Source organism: Homo sapiens, chromosome 8 (genome assembly GCF_000001405.40).
Source record: "Homo sapiens chromosome 8, GRCh38.p14 Primary Assembly".
NCBI classification, from domain to species: Eukaryota; Metazoa; Chordata; class Mammalia; order Primates; family Hominidae; genus Homo; species Homo sapiens.
The window spans coordinates 13568342-13588389 of NC_000008.11; the positions used below are offsets into that span (position 1 = coordinate 13568342).

The following is a 20048-nucleotide window of genomic DNA, read 5'->3' on the forward strand; positions in this document are numbered from 1 at the left end:
GGAACACCAGAAGAGGACTATGTTTGATGGAACTGTTGAAGAGTATGATTATTTGGACATATAAGGTGCATTTGGGACATACACATTGACAGTTTGAAGAAACATTTGATTATTTGTTTTTGCGCTTCAGAGGAAAGGTATAGCCTAGAGGTGCAAAATAAATTGGGGTAGGACTGGGGGAAGGGTGGGGATCAATGGCATATAGCTGGAAGTTGAAGCCGTAGATTGTCAAGCGTTTTTGGAAATGAATAAGAAGAGAAGCAGGGTTGATACAAACTCTTGAGAAATGCCAATTAATGGCTAAGTAGAGAAAAATAAACCTGCAGAAAAGATTGTGAAAAAAGTTATCAAGTGGATCAAGGAAATCAGGAATGTATAGTGTCATAGATGCTAAGGAATGAATATTTAAAGAAGGATAGTTGTCTAACCACATCAATCAACAGAGAAGCCATGTAAAGATGATTTAGTCATGTATTGGGCACTGCTGACCTTAGCAAAAGCCATTTCACTTATACAAATGGGGCAGACAAAATAGATTGAGGAAAAATGTAAGTAAATAATGAATGGATATAGGGTACTCCTTGAAATATTTAGCTGTAAGGGGAAGAAGAAGTAAAGCTGGGGTTAGGTGTTGAGTTTTGAGAGAAGAACGCTTAAACAAATTATCTAGATAGCCATTTTGGTCGTGAAGATTTTATGAACCTTCTGTTGTTCATCCAAATTTATGTAATGAGGAAACAGTATTATTCCACAAGGAATACCATGGCATTTTGAAAACACATTTATGGAGAAAAATGTTAGATGGCATTCTGAGAAGCCATTTATTATCTATTTCCTCTATAAAAATATAAAACCATGGAATTAGTGGCATTACCTGGAGATCACTTTTCTACATGTCCAACACCTGAATTATCTCAGTGAAAAAGAAATTTGTTTGCAAAAATCAGCACAGAAGAGTTTTAGTATTGTACTTCAGTATTACTCTTTGCGTTAAGACCTTCATTTATGTATAAAGATACTATTTTTTTCCCCCATAAAATTTAGCATATTTCCCCTTAGTAAGTCATTCTAAATGGAAAATAACCATTACCATTTTCATAATAACCTTTTATTTGAAATCCATATTATGTCATGCTTTATCTTTGACATCTCAATATATTCATGTTTTACATAATCAAAATTCTGAATAATTTTCCCTTTAGAATTCCCCCATTAAAGGGCATGCTCCACCCTTTTAGTCAACCAAGCTAGAAATCTGAGTCATCTTTTGTTCTTCCTTTTTATTTTTCAACTCAACCCCAAGCTATTTTTCAGCAAGACTTTCAGCATACAGTTCCCAAATGTCAGCATACAGTTCTCAGAATTACTATTTTTTAAATTTGTTACTTATTTATTATTGAGACAGGGTCTGGCTCTATCACCCAGGCTGGAATGCAGTGGTGCAATTACTGCTTACTGCAGCCTCAACCTCTAGGATTCAGGTGATCCTCTCACCTCAGCCTCCCCAGCAGCTGGGACTACAGGTGCGTGCCGCCACGCCTGGCTAAATTTCTTTATTTGTATTTTCAGTAGAGAAATTTTGCTATGTTGCCCAGACTGGTCTGGAATTCCTGAGCTCAAGCAATCCTCCTGTCTCAGCCTTCCCAAGTGCTGGGATTGCAGGCACGAGCCACTGTGCCCAGGAGCCCAGAATTATTTTTCTAACACACAAATCTGTTCAAGTAATTCTGTTGATTTAAAACAAAACAAAACTCTAAGTTGTTTATCTCTGATATGGAAATATTTCAAACTAATTAAGGTCACATAGTGGTTCTTTAACATCTGGCCCAACTTTACCTTTCTATTCTCATGTAATCCCTCCCCACTATATTCAAGCGTCTCTACATTACTTCCCTGAGCTCTTTTGTGTCACTATGGTTTCTATGTGCACATTTGTTTCCCCTAAATTCTCTCTTTTTTTTTTTTTATTATACTTTAAGTTTTAGGGTACCTGTGCACATTGTGCAGGTTAGTTACATATGTATACATGTGCCATGCTGGTGCGCTGCACCCACTAACTCGTCATCTAGCATTAGGTATATCTCCCAATGCTATCCCTCCCCCCTCCCCCCACCCCACCACAGTCCCCAGAGTGTGATATTCCCCTTCCTGTGTCCGTGTGATCTCATTGTTCAATTCCCACCTATGAGTGAGAATATGCGGTGTTTGGTTTTTTGTTCTTGCGATAGTTTACTGAGAATGATGGTTTCCAATTTCACCCATGTCCCTACAAAGGACATGAACTCATCATTTTTTATGGCTGCATAGTATTCCATGGTGTATATGTGCCAGATTTTCTTAATCCAGTCTATGATTGTTGGACATTTGCGTTGGTTCTCTTAACTTCCCTTTTCACCTGGCATACTCTCCCGCTTCTTCGTCGTCTTCATTCAGCTCTCAAATTTTATTGTCCTGTCTTTATGACTCAAAAGTTGAAAGAATATTAGAAAGTTTAGTTTGTAGAGTCTCCCCTCTACCCTGTAACTATTCAACCTCATTCTAGACTAACCTACCAGACCCCTGTCCTGCCAGGGTTAACTCTTTACTTGCTGGGCCATGGTGCAGACAGGTATCTTGGGATGAGAGCACAGGAGGAGAGAACTCACGGAATCAGGGAGTGGACATTTACCCACCAGAAGTATTTCTGTACTTTAACCAATACAACTTTATTATTGGGTAGGGGCTGAATATTGATGTTACCTATAAATAACCACTTACTTTAATTTCTTATGTATTATTCCAGTGCTGTTTTATGCAAATACGAACACCAAAGATAGTTTATTATGTGCTCTCTTCAGCACCTTGCTTTTTTTTCCTTTTGTTTTTCTTGGGGTAAAATCTACATAACAGAAATTTGCCACTTGAACTGTTATTAATAGTACCATTCAGTAGCATGACATCCATAATGTTGTGCAACCATCACCACTGTTTTCAGAATTTTTTATCACCTCAAACAGAAACTCAACCCGTTCAGCAATAACTCCCCATTCTCCTCTCCCCCTGGTACCTGGTCACCTCGAATGTACTTTCTATTGCTATAAATTTGCTTATTTGAGATACTTCATATCAGTGCAATCATGCAGTCTTTGTCATTTTGTGTCTGGCTTAGTGTCGAGGTTCATCCAAGTTGTAGCATGTATCAGAACCTCATTTTTATAGCTGAGTAATATTCCATTGTAGGTATATGTAACATGTACGTGTAACGTGTATGTGTATTCATTCATCTGCTGAGGGACACTTGCATTGCTCCCACTTTTTGGCTATTGTGCGTAATGCTGCTATGAACACTGGCATACAAGTATCTGTTTGTGCACCTGCTTTCGATTCTTTTGGGTCCATACTTAGAAGTAGAATTGCTGGATCACGTGGTAATTCTATGTTTAGCTTTTTGAGGAAGTGACACATTATTTCTACAGCAGTTGCAACGTTTTACATTTCCACCAGCAAGCTACAAGGATTCGGATTTTTTCACGTCCTTGCCAACACTTTTTATTTTCCCCTTCAAAAGTTATAGCCATTTTGGTAGTTGTGGAGTGGCATCTCATTGTACTTTGACTTATAATTTCCAAATCCCTAATGATGCTAAACAGTTTTTCATGTGATTAATGTTCATTTGTGTATCTCATTTAGCAAAATGTCTATTCAAATCCTCTGCCCATTTTCAAATTGAGTTGTCTATTTTATTGAGTTTCAGGATTATTATTATTATTATTTATTTTTTTTTTTTGAGATGGAGTCTCACTCTGTCACCCAGGCTGGAATGCAGTGGCACGATCTCGCCTCACTGCAAGCTCCACCTCCCGGGTTCACACCATTCTCCTGCCTCAGCCTCCCAAGCAGCTGGGACTACAGGTGCCTGCCACCACGCCCAGCTAATTTTTTGTATTTTTAGTAGAGACGGGGTTTCACCGTGTTAGCCAGGATGGTCTCGATCTCCTGACCTTGTGATCCACCTGCCTTGGTGTCCCAAAGTGCTGGAGGAATTATTTTTATATTTTGGATAGTAAATTCTTATCAGATATATGATTTGCAAGTATTTTCTCTTGTTCTGTGGGTTTTTCAGTCTCTTGATAGTGTCTTTTTATACACACAAGTTTTTAATTTTCATAAAGTTCAGTTTTTCTATTTCTTCTTTTATTGCCTATGCTTTTGGTGTCATATGTAAGAAATCATCACCAAATCTAAGATCATGCAAGTTTGCCCATATATTTTCTTCTAAGAGTTTTATAGTCACACATCTTATAGTTATGTATTTAATCCATTTTGAGTTAGTCTTTTGTTTATGGTGTAAGGGTCTAATTTCATTCTTTTGTATGTGGTGATACAGTCTTTCCCATATGATTGTTGAAGATTCTGTTCTTTCCCCCATTGAATGGTCTTAGCACCCTTGTGAAAAATCAGTTGGTCATAGAAATAAGAGTTTATTTCTGAACTCTAAATTCTGTTCCATTGGTCTCTGTGTCTGTCCTTACTCCAGTACCATAATATTTTTATTACTGTGCTTTGAGTAAGTTTTGAAATCATGAAACATGGAATCTCTATCCTTTTTGTTCAAGATTGTTTTGGCTATTCATGGTTCCTTGGGATTCCATATGAATTTTAGGATAGGTTTTTCTATTTCTGTAAAAAATGCCATTGGACTTTTGATAGGGATTGCATTTAATCTGTATATATCTTTGGGTAATATTGTCATCACAACAATATTGAGCATTCCAATTCACGCACATTGATGTCTTTACGTCTTTTAAAAATTTATTTTGTCAGTGTTTTGTGATCTTTACCATGTAAGTTTTGTGCCTCCTTTGTTCAATGTATTCGTAAGTGTTTTATTCTTTTGGTTGCCATTGTAAATTAAATTTTTTTAAAAAATTCTTTTTGGATTGTTCATTTCTATTGTATAAACATACAGTTGATTTTTGCATGCTGGTTTTGTATACTGCAACTTTGCTGAACTCATTTATTAGCTCTAACGATGAAAAGAGACAGATTCTTTAGGGTTTTCTAGGTATAAGAGTGTATCTACAACAGAGATAATTTTATGTGTTCCTTTCCAATTTGAATGCCTTTCTATCTTTGCATAATTGCTATGGCTATCACTTCCAGAGCTATATTGAATAGAAGGTGTGAAAGTGGAATCTTTGTTTTGTTCCTGATCTTAGGGAAGAACTTGCAGTCTTTGACCACTGGGAATGATTTTACTTATGGGTTTTCATATATGGCATTTTCATGTTGGGAAAGTTCTCTGTAATTCTTAGTTTATTGAATGTTTGTATCATAAAAGTGTTTCGTATTTTGTCAGTTTTTTCCTGCATCCATTGAAATAATCTTGTAGTTTGGCATATGCTTAAATCCAACATTTGTGCTCATAACCTCACCTTTGCACTCATGATCTTTAAGCACTTACTATTCAGAATTAAAGTCAGTAGTCTGTATGCTCTATGACATTAATATAAAATTTACATATGACGTTAATATAAAAGTTCATTTTATGACACTTGTGGCTTAATTAATATGCTTTTCTCTCTTACTTGTGAGCAACGCAAGTGTAGAGACTCCCTCCATCATTCATCATATCCTTGGTGTTTAGCACAGTGCCTTACACGTGATGGTGCTCAATGAAACTTTCATGGATAACAAAGAAGGGCTTCCAAACAATGAAACTGAATGTATCTTCTCCACCAAAAGAAGAAAATAATCTTCTAGAATTCTGTAATCTGTCAGTGTTCTGAGTAGCTGTTTTCTGTAATTTTACTCTTACCTCTCCAGGGGTTGCATTTCCTTTCAGCATGTATATATACACATTCTTTTCCTCAGTGGCAAATTAGCGTAAAGCTTTTTAATAAGAGATCCTTCCAGGAAGTATGCATTTTTCACTTTAAACAATTAACATAAAAATATATTTCTAGGCAATACACAGTTTCAAGTAGAAAGTTATCTATTATTAATTTTAGACATATTTGATGACTATCTGAAATTTTGAAATGGGATAAAAATTCTTAACGCTCAAACTTAATATATGTTTTTTGCCCTTGAATATATTCAAAGGGGGTTGGATATCTTTTCTCCAAATACTCTATAGTTACACCCATGAGATTCTAATACAGGTGAAATAGAAAGCTCATCAGATGAGGTGCTAAGAAGCCACATATTTTCCTAATTGTTGCCACAACACTAAAAATGTGTCTAGCCACTTAGTACATAATTATACAAATGTATAATTTATATGATTATAATATATACATAATAGAAATATTTATTTCATGTTTTGTACTCTAGGTTTATCATCAAATAGACTAAAATTCTGTGCCTAAAAACAAATCTGTTTATTGAACAGCATTATAGTAATGAAACTCTTGAGATAGAAGTGGTGATGCCAGACTGAGAGAAAAGTCAGCTCAATCCTGAACATCTGAGTCATTCAAATTCCAGCCTCAGAACTGTTTAGGAATGTCTGGGACCCAGCTTAGAATACCTCCAATTTTAAACATGTTAGTTTATTTCATGATGAAGCCTAGTATAATAACTTAGCTCATTCTGCAGCAGCATAGTAAACAGGTTGAAAAGAAGTAGGGATTGGGAGTAGGTGTGAGCTCTCCCTCAATTTTGCCTAAAAGTGACAGATGAGAAATAAATACACAAATAGTCAATTTGAGAAACACAAAATGAAAACATAGTTGAATTTCTGTTCTTAGTTGATAATTACCCTTTGGAATAGAGAATTCAGAAATTTTCCAACTGGCAGTCAACTCAAATTACAGCGAAAATTGCAAACTTACATCAAAGTGTCTTATGCAATCATAAGCCCTGATTTTGATGAGCCCACTGTTTGTCGAGGTATTAAACATTTAGGAGAAAATTTGTTGTAGTCATCCCACTCAAAATTTGCTCTGGATGTCAGGACTAATGGTGCCACATATGCACTGAGAGAGTATGAAGGTTTATTTACTTACGTAATGAGGGTTAGGAGGGGGGTACGAGAGGCAGTCTTTCAAGCAGATCTGAAAATGGCTTGAAGGTGAGGAAAGAGACTAGCATGGCTTTTATTATAATTAGGGGGTGGGGCCGAGGGGAGGATTCCCACATCTGGGCTGGGGCTTGGATATTTTGAATGTCCTGCCACACCAAATAAGGGAGCATATGGGCTTTCTTATCAGCTAGCACAGATATGGGGCAGAAGAGTGGGGCTTGAAAGCCTTCAGCTGTTAAACATAAAAAAAAAATGCAGTCCTAATTTTTATTACAATTTATCCCTGTTGCTTGACTGACGACTGAAATACATCATGTTTCATTTAATTAAATTTTAGCTTCAGTGTACCATAATAGTGCTCTCTCAGGCCTGTCACCTGAAACTGGTAAGGGCAGTGAAAGTTCACTGAACACCTTGTTTGAGAGCCCAGCATTGTGTATTTTGAGAAGTAAAATGAGTGCCTTGGTCATTATGAACAATATCTGGAATTCTGAAGGGTATAAAGGAAGGCTTTGTATTGTGGCTTTAGTATGCACTGAGACATGTGTAACCTTAACATATTTTGAGTATCTGTGTGGCAAGAGAGTCCCACAGTTATTTTCCTCAAAGGAGCAAATCTTGGATAACTAGTTGTTGCTACCATTGGCAGAACTAGAGGGCTAGACCACTGGCAATGGCCTGTAAAAGTGCATAGATGGAGCCAATTGTTGCCCAAATTGAGTGCCTAAAGTTCAGCTAAATATACTGGCCCTTAGATCACACTCTTTATCAGAATGTCTGGATTAAGGGATGAAAAGCAGCACCTCCTCAGTAAGACACATCATGTATAGTTTTAATACTCTACATAAAGTGTAATAACCCGCATTGCTGTTCATTCATTAAATCCCAAGGGATTCCCAGGTAGTTAAGGGGTTTGAAGGTTTGAGAAGAGATTGCTAAAGCCTCTACAGTGAAGGATTTTTCTGGGGCGCGGAGAAGGATCACCAATGGGAGTGCCTATTGTATTGCAATTTGACCAGATTCTAGAGTTCTTTGGTTGAGAGGACACAATTCCAGAAGGAACAATTTGCAACAGCATAAATAGGCATCAGTAAAATTTATAATGAGAATGTAAACATCGAAATATATAAAAAATGTAAACATAGAAATATGTTGCCTCCAGATCCTGAAAAGTTGTAAAAGTTGAGCTTCTTTTAACATTGTGGGTTCTGAGAGAGTCGATTGCTATTTCTTACAGATAGAGAAGTCTTCAGCTTACCCAATAATTTTCACAAATTTAACTGGTGTGCAGGGCCTTGTCCTATGTGCAGAGAAATGCCTATCTTCTTTTTGGGAGCATTTGCGTGTCCTCAGTGAGTGTGTCAAATGAATCTCCCCAGAGTAGGGTATGATCAGTACAATGCTGTGTCTGTGCTGCTGGAGAAAGTTGGACGTGGTTAAAGCCTAGGCTGCAAGGACTGTGTGCAAGGATAGAGTTGTGCAAGTGCCCTACGAGTAGCTTGGTAAAGACATATTGTGTCCCTTTGAAGGTTAAGGCCAAGCGTGGCTGTTGAAAATGGCACTGAACAGAGGAACATATTAGTAATATCTCTGACTGCAAAGTGCTTACCGAGGAACATATTAGTAATATCTCTGACTGTGAAGTGCTTACTGCTTGCTGATTGGACATAATCTACTGACTCTGTGTTGGGCTTAGGGGCCTTCACAGGTGGGACGATGGCGTTAAGGTTGTGGTAATCCACCATGGGGCACCATTAATTCTTTCTACATTTAAGAACAGTCCAAACTGGGCTGTTACTGGAGAAACAGTGGGGATAAACATCTTCCGACATTGGACTTTATAATAGGTTTCACTCCTCAAAGACTGTGCTTTAATTTATATCAATTTGTATTAAGTATTTTAGCTGGACAGTAGGGAGGGAGGTCTATAGAGCTGCAACTTACCAAGCCTATTTTACATGACAAGGACTCCATCTAATTACAGCTTATTATGCGATGGGTCAGTGTCCGTGTCCACAGAACATGTTTTAGAGTAATGGGTTATATGATTATGAAGAATTTAGGTAATGTATTTTTTGCAGTGGTTATGGTGAGGCAGTTCTCTTTTATGTTCAATAATTCTCTTCAGATTTTACGTATATCTTGGTTAAATTTAATGGGATTCTTGAGTATAACTGTAATTTGAATTCGGTATTAATTAGTGTCATAAAATTTTGCCAATTGTTCCATCTCAGTACATGCTAAATTAATTTAGAACCTACATTGTATAGGGGAAAACAAATACTTTTATGTTTTTGTTATATAAATTATACGAATAAATTTTTCATTCCTGATTGAGTCAAATTATGCCCACTGTTTTGGGCTTTTGTTTCCTCCTTGGTATCTAGGATTTATATATGTGTGTATTTGGTTATAGGATATAATTTGTTGGGAGAGAGTTATGTTTTCCCTGCTCATATTTTTAAGCTTCTTCCTGTTGGAGAGTATCAAATTATTATCTTTAAGGTTAGGGGCTTCACCCATGACAATTGTTGCTTTATTGGATTTAAGGAAGCCAGTTGATTAAAATTAAGTCCTTGGATGTGCCACAGGAGGTGGGGACATAAGGGTGGAAGCATGAATGTTTATTCCTGTAACACTGAGGATCAGGTTCTATAGAAATAAAAAAAAAAAAGTGTAATTCCTACTCTCACACACTCAACAATTTGTTTTTTAAAAATTAGGTTGCATTTCTCTGTGCGTCCAGTGAACCAACTCCCTGGGAGTTGGCTCCTTTCCTCAAATTCACTGGTCACTTTGACCTTCAGTAACTCAGCACAGCTGCTGCTCCGTACCAAGGATGACCACATGGCCACCCAGGAATCAATGACTTCTCCTTTCTCTAATCAAAGGCTATCCTTTTTCATCCCCAGCCACATGTTTCAGTGAGTCACAGCCATTCCAGCAAATCTCACTTCACTGACACCAATTCTGAAGGAAAAAACAAACTGTGTTTTCGTACTCTCTTACACAGTCACTCAACATTTATGACACCATATGTGTGGGGTTTTCCCTGCTACACCAAGCAATTCTGCAGTGGATACAAACTGGGTGTCCTAGAATTCATTCAGTTCTGACATATCTACCTGGAGTTTAAGTCAGATCCCACAGGTTAAGAGCTCAGTCCTACAAGGCTGCCCCCACTGCAGATTCCTATAGCAGGTAATATTAACAGGTTGTCATCTACACTTCTGACTGACCTGCTATAAATCCAGGGTTCCCAGGACCCTCTCCTCAGGTTCAATTAATTTGTTAGAGCAGCTCACAGAGCTTAGAGAAACACATTTGCTGGTTTATTATAAAGGATATTACAAAAGAAACAGATGAAGAGATGCACAGGGCAAGGTGTGGGGGAAGGAGTGTGGAGCTTCCATGCCCTCTCCAGGTGTCCCACCCTCCAGGTACCCCCATGTGTTCAACAACCCAGAAGCCCTCCAAACCCTGTCCTTTAGGTTTTCTGTGGAGACTTCATCACGTAGGCATGATTAAGTAAATCTATGGCCATTGCTGACTGACTCAACCTTCCGCCCTACTCCCCTCCCCAGAGGTTGAGGGGGTGGGGCTGAAAGTTCCAACGTTTTATTACAGGTTGGTTCCTCTGGCAACCGGCTCCCATTCCGAGGCTATCCAGAAGCCCACAAGCAATCACTGCACTAGAACAAAAGAGACTCCTATTGCCTAGGACATTTTAAGGGATTTAGGAGCTCTGTGCCAGACTCTCCTATCACTCATTAAATGACAACGGTGTTAGGAGCTTTGTGCCAGAAACCAGGGGTCAAAGAACAAATATTAGAACAAAAGAGTCTCCTAGCACCGCCGCATAAAAGGTGTAAGGAGCTCTAATTGAGGAACAGGGAGCATATATATATATATATATATATATGCACATATCTACCTGGACTTAAAGTCAGATACCACAGGTCTGACTTTATATATATATATATATATATATATATATATATATATATATATATATTTTTATATAATACATATTTATATATTATATATTATATATTTAATATATTATATTTTATATTATATATTTAATACATTATATTTTATATTATATATTTAATACATTATATTTTATATTATATATTTAATATATTATATTTTATATTATATATTTAATATATTATATTTTATATTATATATTTAATATATTATATTTTATATTATATATTTAATATATTATATTTTATATTATATATTTAATATATTATATTTTATATTATATATTTATAATATATTTAATATATTATAAAAAATATATACACATACATATGTATGTATGTATATTTATATATCTTATTATATCACAATATTAGAGATTATTTTGGAGCAATAGCGGCTTAGGTAGCAGCAGCAGCAAAAACATTTTGTAGTGTCCTAGTGAGCCCACTGCTTTTAGAAGTGTGGCCCTCTGCATAGCACATTGTGAGTGCTCCAGGTGAGTACCCAGTGTGCCCATATATTACATGTTGTATCAGTGATTTCCTAAGCACTCTCTAGAATGGTGGCCAGTGCCTGGTTGAGACAAACAACAATGGTGACAGGATAGGAGTTATTCCTCTTAGCCTAGTATCAGTCATGGACTATGCTGGGCTCCAGGCACATGAGTTAATCTCAGACACATGCTCTAGGCTGAGACACATGACCCAGGATCACTTTAAGGAGGGCCCCAATCCCATATTCTCATATGCCAATTATCAGCTTCTAATTTAAGTTGGTTACATTTATTTTTTTATTTTTTTGAGACAGAGTTTTGCTCTGTTGTCCAGGCTGGAGTGCAGTGGCGCAATCTCGGCTCACTGCAGCCTCTGCCTCCCTGGTTCACGCCATTCTCCTGCCTCAGCCTCCCGAGTAGCTGGGCCTACAGGCGACCGCCACCACGCGCGGCTAATTTTTGTATTTTTAGTAGAGACAGGGTTTCGCCGTGTTAGCCAGGATGGCCTCGATCGCCTGACCTCGTGATCTGCCCGCGTCGGACTCCCAAAGTGCTGGGATTACAGGCGTGAGCCACCGCGCCCGGCAGGTTGGTTACATTTTTAACCGAAGCTTACACAAAGCAGCACGGTTGAAAGCACAAGCTTGCCAGAAGGGGGCACAGACAGTTAGCAGGCAAAGCAAGAGCCCTCAGTGGTGGGGGTCATTGCCTGGACTTCCTGCTCACTGTGCCCATCCCTGAAGTCATCTTGCAGAGGTGAGATGGACTCCCATGCAAAATATAGCTGAGATGACAAAACTGACGATTGATGCATATGGAAGACCAGAAAGGATAAATGTCTCTTCTCTAAATAGGTCTTGCATAATGGGTTTCAAACTTTTAAGATCCTATTTTAATTTACATTAGGCAGTATTAACTATTTTAACTGGAGAGTAGAGGTGAAAGCCCCCACACACCAGGAGGGTATGAAAAGGTTTACTATGCTCATAATCAGGCTTTCTGAGAAAAAGCGGGACAGCCTCTAAAAATGGCAAGAGAATGGATTGTTTTCTATTGTGATGAGGGGGTGAGGATGGGTGAGGGCTCCCCAGCATGAACTGAGTCTTGCATGATTTGAGCTTCCCACCAGTACTGAACTAAGGGGTACCCCAGCTTTCTTATCAGCTTTCCCCCATGTAGGGCAGGAGAAGAGAAAGCGGTGAAACCTTAAAGTTGTCAGTAGTCAAACATCAAAAATGGAGTCAGACTCTATTACAAAGTATTTACTAATCTCTCAACTCTTTGCAAGGAATTAAGACATCTGCATGCCTGGGAGATCTCATTCAGTCAGGGTCAAATTTTATGCCTCACTTTCAGTGTTAGCTCATAATTGCTCTCAGCTAACCACACATTTTCTATTTAAATTTCCATTTGTTCAATATCAGTGCACTTTGAATAAACATACATATACAAATGACATCATTCAGAGGAAAAAACGGAACCATTTGCTTCTAAATAGGTACCTTAAAGTTAGTCTGTCCCAAACAAAACTCTTGCTGTTCCCCCAGTCCTGTCTCTGTTCCAGCCTTCCCCATTTCAGTAAATAGAACTAATATCTATCCATTCATTTAGTCAAGGCAACAATCTTGGTACTAAATTTCACTGCTTTTCTTTCTCTGATGTACTATGTCCAATCCAACAGCTAACCCTGTATTTTCTTCATCCAAGATTTATCTAATCCAATCCATTTAAAGGTCTTTATATCCACTGTCACCCACCTTATTTCAGGCTTAAACTATTGAATTACATGTCTAACTGGTTTTCCTGCTTCTGTTCATCACCCTGTAATCCAGTCTACATAATGAAGGTAGGGTAATCTTTCAAAGATGTGCATCAGATTACTGGGCAGAATCTATTCTATCGCTTCCCATAGAATAACACCCAACCTCTTTATCAGGCCATGCAAGGTCCTCCGTGATTTGTCCTCTGCCTTCTTCTCTCTCCCTCGCTTCTCCTCACTCTCTTCATGTTTTCGGTTTTGTTTTCCTATCTAAAAAAGACTTACTGTAGTTCATGCAATCTGAAGTCCACGCATCAAAGGCAGCTAGGAAAAAAAATTTAATGCATTTAAAAAATTTTAGAAAAACTCTGTGTGTGAGTGTGTGTGTGGGTGTGTGAAGAGGGTAGGATGGATACGCAAAGTTCTAGTCCCATGGGGTCTCTGCAAGAGAAGGGATTGGAGAAAAAACAAAGTCCACTCTCCCTAGAGAATAATAAATTCATCTCTTAAATGCATTTTTTTCTATAGCCTCTGGAGGTCATCAAAAAGCGCTTCTAAGCTCTTTTTCCAACGGTTGGGATATGGTAATGCACATCCCTGCAGAGATTTTCTCTTTTAAGGAACTGGCAGTGAGAAAAAACAAAACAAAATGAAACATTTTGCATACACTCTCTTCAAGAAAACACCAGTATACTAATATGGTATAGGTACATGTGATGGTTAATACTAAATGTCAACTTGATTGGATCAAAGGATGCAAAGTATTAATCCTGGGTGTGTCTGTGAGGGTGTTGCCAAAGGAGATTAACATTTGAGTCAGTGGACTGGGGAAGGCAGACCCAAACTTAATCTGAATGGGCACCGTTTAATCAGCTGCCAGCAAATATAAAGCAGGCAGAAAAATGTGAAAAGGTTAGACTGGCCTGGGCTCCCAGCCTATATATTTCTCCCATGCCGGATGCTTCCTACCCTTGAACATCAGACTCAAAGTTCATCAATTTTAGAACTCGAACTGCTTCTCCTTGCTCTTTAGCCTGCAAACGGCCTATTGCGGGATCTTGTGATTGTGTGAGTTAATACTTAATAAACTTCCATATATATATATATTTTTTCCATTCATTCTGTCCCTCTAGAGAACCCTGACTAATACAGTACAGGAACTCACAGATTTTGTGGATTCGGTTCTATAATACTTCAGTAATGCTAATATCTCAATAAAGTGAGTCATACAATTTTTTTTTGCTTCCCAGTGCATATAAAAGTTATGTTTACAATATACTGTGGTCTATATATATATATATATATATATATATATATATATATATATGTGGTGTAATAGCATTATGTCTAAAACGGTACATACCTTAATTAAAAATACTTTATTGCTGAAAATGCTAATGGTCATCTAAGTCTTCAGTGAGTTGTAATCTTTTTGCCGGTGGAGGGTCCTGCCTTGATGTTGATGGCTGCTGACTGATCAGGGTGGTGGTGGCCGAAAGTTGAGGTGTCTGTGACAGTTTTTTAAAATAAGACAATAATGAAATTTGCTGCATCAATAGTTGATTCTTCCTTTTATGAAAGATTTCCCTGCAGCATGAGATGCTGTTTGATAGCATTTTACCCAAAGGGGAACTGTTTTCAAACTTGGAGTCAATTCTCTCAAACTGTGCAGCTGTTTATCAACTAAGTTTATGGAATATTCCAAATCCATTGGTGTCATCACAACAATTTTCACAGCATCTTCATCAGGAGTAGATTTCATCTCAAGAAGCCGCTTTCTTTGCTCATCCATAAGAAGCAACTCTCTGTTGGTTCAGGTTTTCTCACAAGATTGCAGCAAGTCAATCACATCCTCAGATTCCACTTATAATTCTAGTTCTCTTGCTATTTCTATCATATCTGCGACAACTTCCTGTACTGAAGTCTTAAACCCCTCAAAGTAATCCAGGAGGGTTGGAATCAACTTTTTCCAATAGGTAAAAAAATGCAATATAAGTTAGGCACAATAAAGTGAAGCACTATAAAACAAGGTATGCTTTTATTTAATATTTTCATGTCAGAGGATTGACAACAAAGACAAACCTATTAATTCTTTAGCGAAATATCGATTAAAAAAGAAGCAACACTATTGCATCTTTCTGTTAGAGAGTCGGTGTCTCTGAGTTCAATGTCTTTGGAGATGGAGACTGTGCTCAATGCCTGAGGCTGCATGGTGAAAATTGTCTTGAGTGTCCTTGGCTTTTTCAGTACAGGCTCTCAGTAACCACCCACCCGAGGAGCTTGTCCTGGCAAAACTGGCTGGCTTATTGGATAAACATGCACTGGATGACATCCTGGACAGCTATCATGGTCACTCACAGGGTCCAAGAGAGCTGCCGTTCATCTAGGAGCTGGCTGAACGATTGCTGTTCTGGTTGGATTTCTGTCTGTATGTTCTGTTGAGCACTGGTAGAAAGTGTCTGAGTGCCTGATACCAGCAGGGATAAGCAGGTGTCTTGCTTCAGCAGGTTCTTTGCTTTGTTGGTACTGTTCTATTGCATCAGCTGCATGTTCTGTCCTGGGCCATTCTGGGTCTGCTGGATTTGCTCCTGTGGCTGGATCTAGACAGTGCGAACTGCTGAACTTACCCAACCTGCAGCTTCCCTGTTTGGCTCTTCTGAGGCTGCACTGTAAAGATCTGCCTGAGCCGGATGGTGGTCATGGAGCTGGTGGTCTGCTAGTTTTGCTGCTGCCTGTGGGCCTGGACAGGGGTGGGCTACTGAACCAGGGTGAAATAGTACTGGATGGACTCAGTGGGAAGCCCAGATTGGTGCAGCTGCTCCTCATCTATGGCAGTGTTGATCATTTCTTGGAGAGTATCAATGAAAAAGTTATACTGACCACATTTTGTAATTGTCATGATGATATCATTTGACTGTAGAATTTGGCACTTGTTTTCCTCTGAGACATTCTGGGATATGTACCGGGCACAATAAAAACACATTGCAAAACAGCATGGAACAAAGATTTACCCTTCAAGCTGGTAGAAGTCATGCTTTATGGGTGCAAGATTCCTGATGAGAGAACTACAATGATTGCAGGTATATATACCATAGCTTAGCTGGAGTGCAGAGGTAGGCACATTGAGATGTGATGAGGGAATATTCCGAAGGGCAACTTTCGCTCAAAAACTTTTCGCTGGTTCAACAGAAACTTTCTTGGAACTGTGCACACACCCAGGCTCTTCCTACCCAATCCTCCCTTTTCTTTCTCCCGCAATAGGTCTCAAAACCACATTATAATCTGAAACCTTTCCCCACTGTCTATTATTTTCCTCCCCTCTTAATAAATCTCTTACACCTCTAATCCCATTTTAGCTTCTGCATTTTGGTGTACCCAAACTGTGCAGTATACTCTGTAAAATAATTCATTTATTCACTCAATAAAGATTCTTGAGGAACTCCTGGAACTCTAAATACTAGGAATTTAAGTACTAAGATGTGGCACTGCCTTCAATGAACTTAGCATTTTCTTAGATCACAAAAAATTTTTAACAAATATGTGTAATACAATGTGGTCAATATAGTAGCAAAAATATTGTGCATATAATCAGAGATCTTGGCAGGTATAGGAAAATTTATTCAAGACAAGGTGACCCCTGAGCAAAGTCTTCATGGATGTGTTTCTGGAACATAAAGAATGAAGAAATAGGCCTAGCATGGTGGCTTACACCTGTAATCCCAGCACTTTGAGAGGCTGAGGCCAAAGGATTGCTTGATGCTAGAAGATCAAGACCAGACTAGGAAACATAGCAAGACTCTCATCTCTATAAAAAATTTAAAAAAAAAGAATGAAGAAATTAAAAACAGATACATGGCTATAGAACAAACCACAGGGTAGCAGCCCTATAAGCTTAAGTTGTACTTTGTAATTTGTAAAGGTGCATTAGTTTGCTAGGGCTGCTGTAACAAAGTGCCACCAACTGGATGTCAAAACAACATACGTGTATTGTCTCTGAGTTCCGAAGGCTGGAAGTCCGAAATTGAGGTATCACCAGGGTTTGTTCCTTGTGAGGGCTGTGAGGGAGAATCTGTTCCATGCCTCTCTTCTAGTTTCTGGTGGTTTGCTGAAAATTTTTGGTGTTCCTTGGCTTGTAGGAACATCACCCTGATTTCTTCTTTCACATTCATATTTTATTCTACCCATGCTCATATCCCTATCCAAATTTTCCCTCTTCATAGGGACACTGGGTGTATTAAAGAACTTGATTACCATTGTAAACATCTTGTCTCCAAATACAGTCACATTCTGAAGTACTTTTTCAGTGTATTAATTTTGGAGGGATATAATTCAAACTGTAATAGAGAGGGAGGATAAAGCAGAGAAATATAATGCTTAGCCTTTCATTTTTAGTGAAATCATTGTAGAGTTATAGCTGAAAATAGACATTCAAGGGAATGATTCTCAACCATGGCTGCACATTATAATTATCTTGGAAGTTTGAAAATATACTGATGACCAGGCCCTACTCATGGGCTCTCTCTGCTAATTGTCCTAGGATAGAGATCTTGGCAGTATTGTTGTATAAAAGCTTCTCAAGTGATTCTAATATGCAGCTGCATTTATGATGACTGTTTTAAGGTGGTAAGGCTTGAGGCAGGAAGGGCAATTTGGATATGGTTTCATTAACCAAGACAGAGAGAATGAGGCTCTGAAACTTGGCCACCAGTAGTAGGAAAGAAGAAGAGGAGATAGATGATTTCTAGAAACAGGAAGTAAATCAGTAAGACTTGATGACCGATTGAACAGTAGAGGGGAGTAGGGAAGAGTCAAAGATGGCTCATACGTTCTCATTATGTACATGCTGGTGTCATCAGCAGATGTTAAAGATATAAGAAATGTGTTCTCATGGGGGAGAGCATAGTAATTTCTTTTGGTAGATAGGTTAGTAACTGAATGAATTGAGTTTTTTTAATTAGACTTTTTTAAATATTTAGAGAATAATGCAGATGCACATGCACACACACACACACACACACACACACACACACACACCTGCATGTAAAATGAAACATGTAAGAAATAATACAGAGAGACCCAACGGTACCCTTCTCTAGTTTTTTGAAAGGCAACGTCTTTAAAAACTATGTAGTACAATATCACAACCAGAATGTTGACATCAATCCAGTCAAAATACAGAACAGTTCCATCACCACAAGGATATATGAAGTTTGAAGTGCCTATAGATAGTATTCAAGCAAGACTTGTTATAGTGGCATTCTCTAAGGACATGCTCTTTACCTAGTTTTGATCATTCTAAGGTACCAGAAACCTTCAACAACTAAGTAAGACCCACCTGCATCAGGTGCCTCAATATAATAATACATGGACATTGAGGACCTTTTTAAACTTAGGGTTTTATGCAATACATGTCTAGTAGAGAGTTAGAAATATATGTAGGTAGTGATTCCACCTATAAAACAAGCTCCACTTGGGAAAATAGTTTACACACACACACACACACACACACACACATTCATGCATGCGCCTATCCACAGATGGTGGCACATATACACCACAAGCCTGTACATGCACAGATGCACATTTTATTAGAATAGATAAAATTTTGTGAGTGGCCATTAGATGAACCCCTCACATTTGAAGAGAGTGATTATTCTGTCTTTTAAAGGGTGTGCTTTTAGTGTAACCATAGCCAAGAAAAAAAAAAGAGAGAGAAAGAGATTAAAAACAGCTGGAACATATGTCTATTTTCACCTCCTCCATCTGGAACTTTGTTTTAGGATATCACAGACACTTTCCAAACAAAGCTCTGTTGGACCAAATGATAAATATAGAGGAGACATGCATTACATGTACGATTCTCTTTTTGTTTGAAGAGCTTTATAGAATCTGAACCACTGGTGTGTTTTCCAAATGTAAAAATAAAGCTTTGAACAGCACAAATGTGACTATACACACACACACACACACACACACAGAGAGAGAGAAAATATATATATATATACATTGCATATATATATATATATATATATACATTGCCTATATATATATGTATGTTTATATAGGCGATGTTAACTGCAATGTTGGCTCTTTAATCCATAAGTTCTGTTTACCTGGGAAGTAAAAATGAAGTCTTTTATTATATGTTGATATTTTAATACAGCAATCAGAGAACTAAAATAATGTGCTAGTCAATCTTTCAAGTTTCTATCAGTACTCTACTCTCAGATTCACACTTTTCTCTAAATTTCTCCTGTATCATATCATGCCCCAATTACTATAACTTTCTCACCCTTCCCCTCATGGCAGTATGATTTTACAGCAATACATCCAATATGAAAATTATGTTAAACATTTAAAACTTCTTGGATAACATCACTCCTATTGTATATAGATCAAATTCCAAAGTCATTGACCTTTATTATATAGGTCCTACTTCAGCTTACACCAGAGGTTAAGAGCCCAGGTTTTAAAAGTCAGACAGTCTTCAGTTCCAATCCCAGTTCTTCCAAATGGAAGCACAGTCTGCAAGGATTCATGGTTCTAGCTCAACTGATTACTTTTGAAGGCCCGAAATTACATAATGGCAGAGAAAACAGATGAACAATGGAAAAAGAATGGGGTTAAAAAAATAGACAAACCCTGGTGCCCAGTTGATTAGAAGAGAGAAAATGGTAGGAAGCATGATACCTATATTAGCCTACTGGGTGGATTACCGAAGAGAGAGAATCCAGGAAAGGGAGAGGTTTGTCAGAATGAGGAGGAAGTCATTATTTTGAATTTGGTGTATGACATTT

General features: G+C 38.0%; 1 protein-coding gene and 1 pseudogene across 2 annotated transcripts in view; both read right to left on the reverse strand.

Moving 5' to 3' along the window:
* DLC1 (DLC1 Rho GTPase activating protein) overlaps positions 1-20048 on the reverse strand; it is a 521260-nt gene that overhangs the window by 484981 nt on the left and 16231 nt on the right. The gene's annotated exons all lie outside the window — the stretch shown is intronic.
* Positions 15503-16195, reverse strand: LOC100421023 (nuclear transcription factor Y subunit gamma pseudogene; annotated as a pseudogene).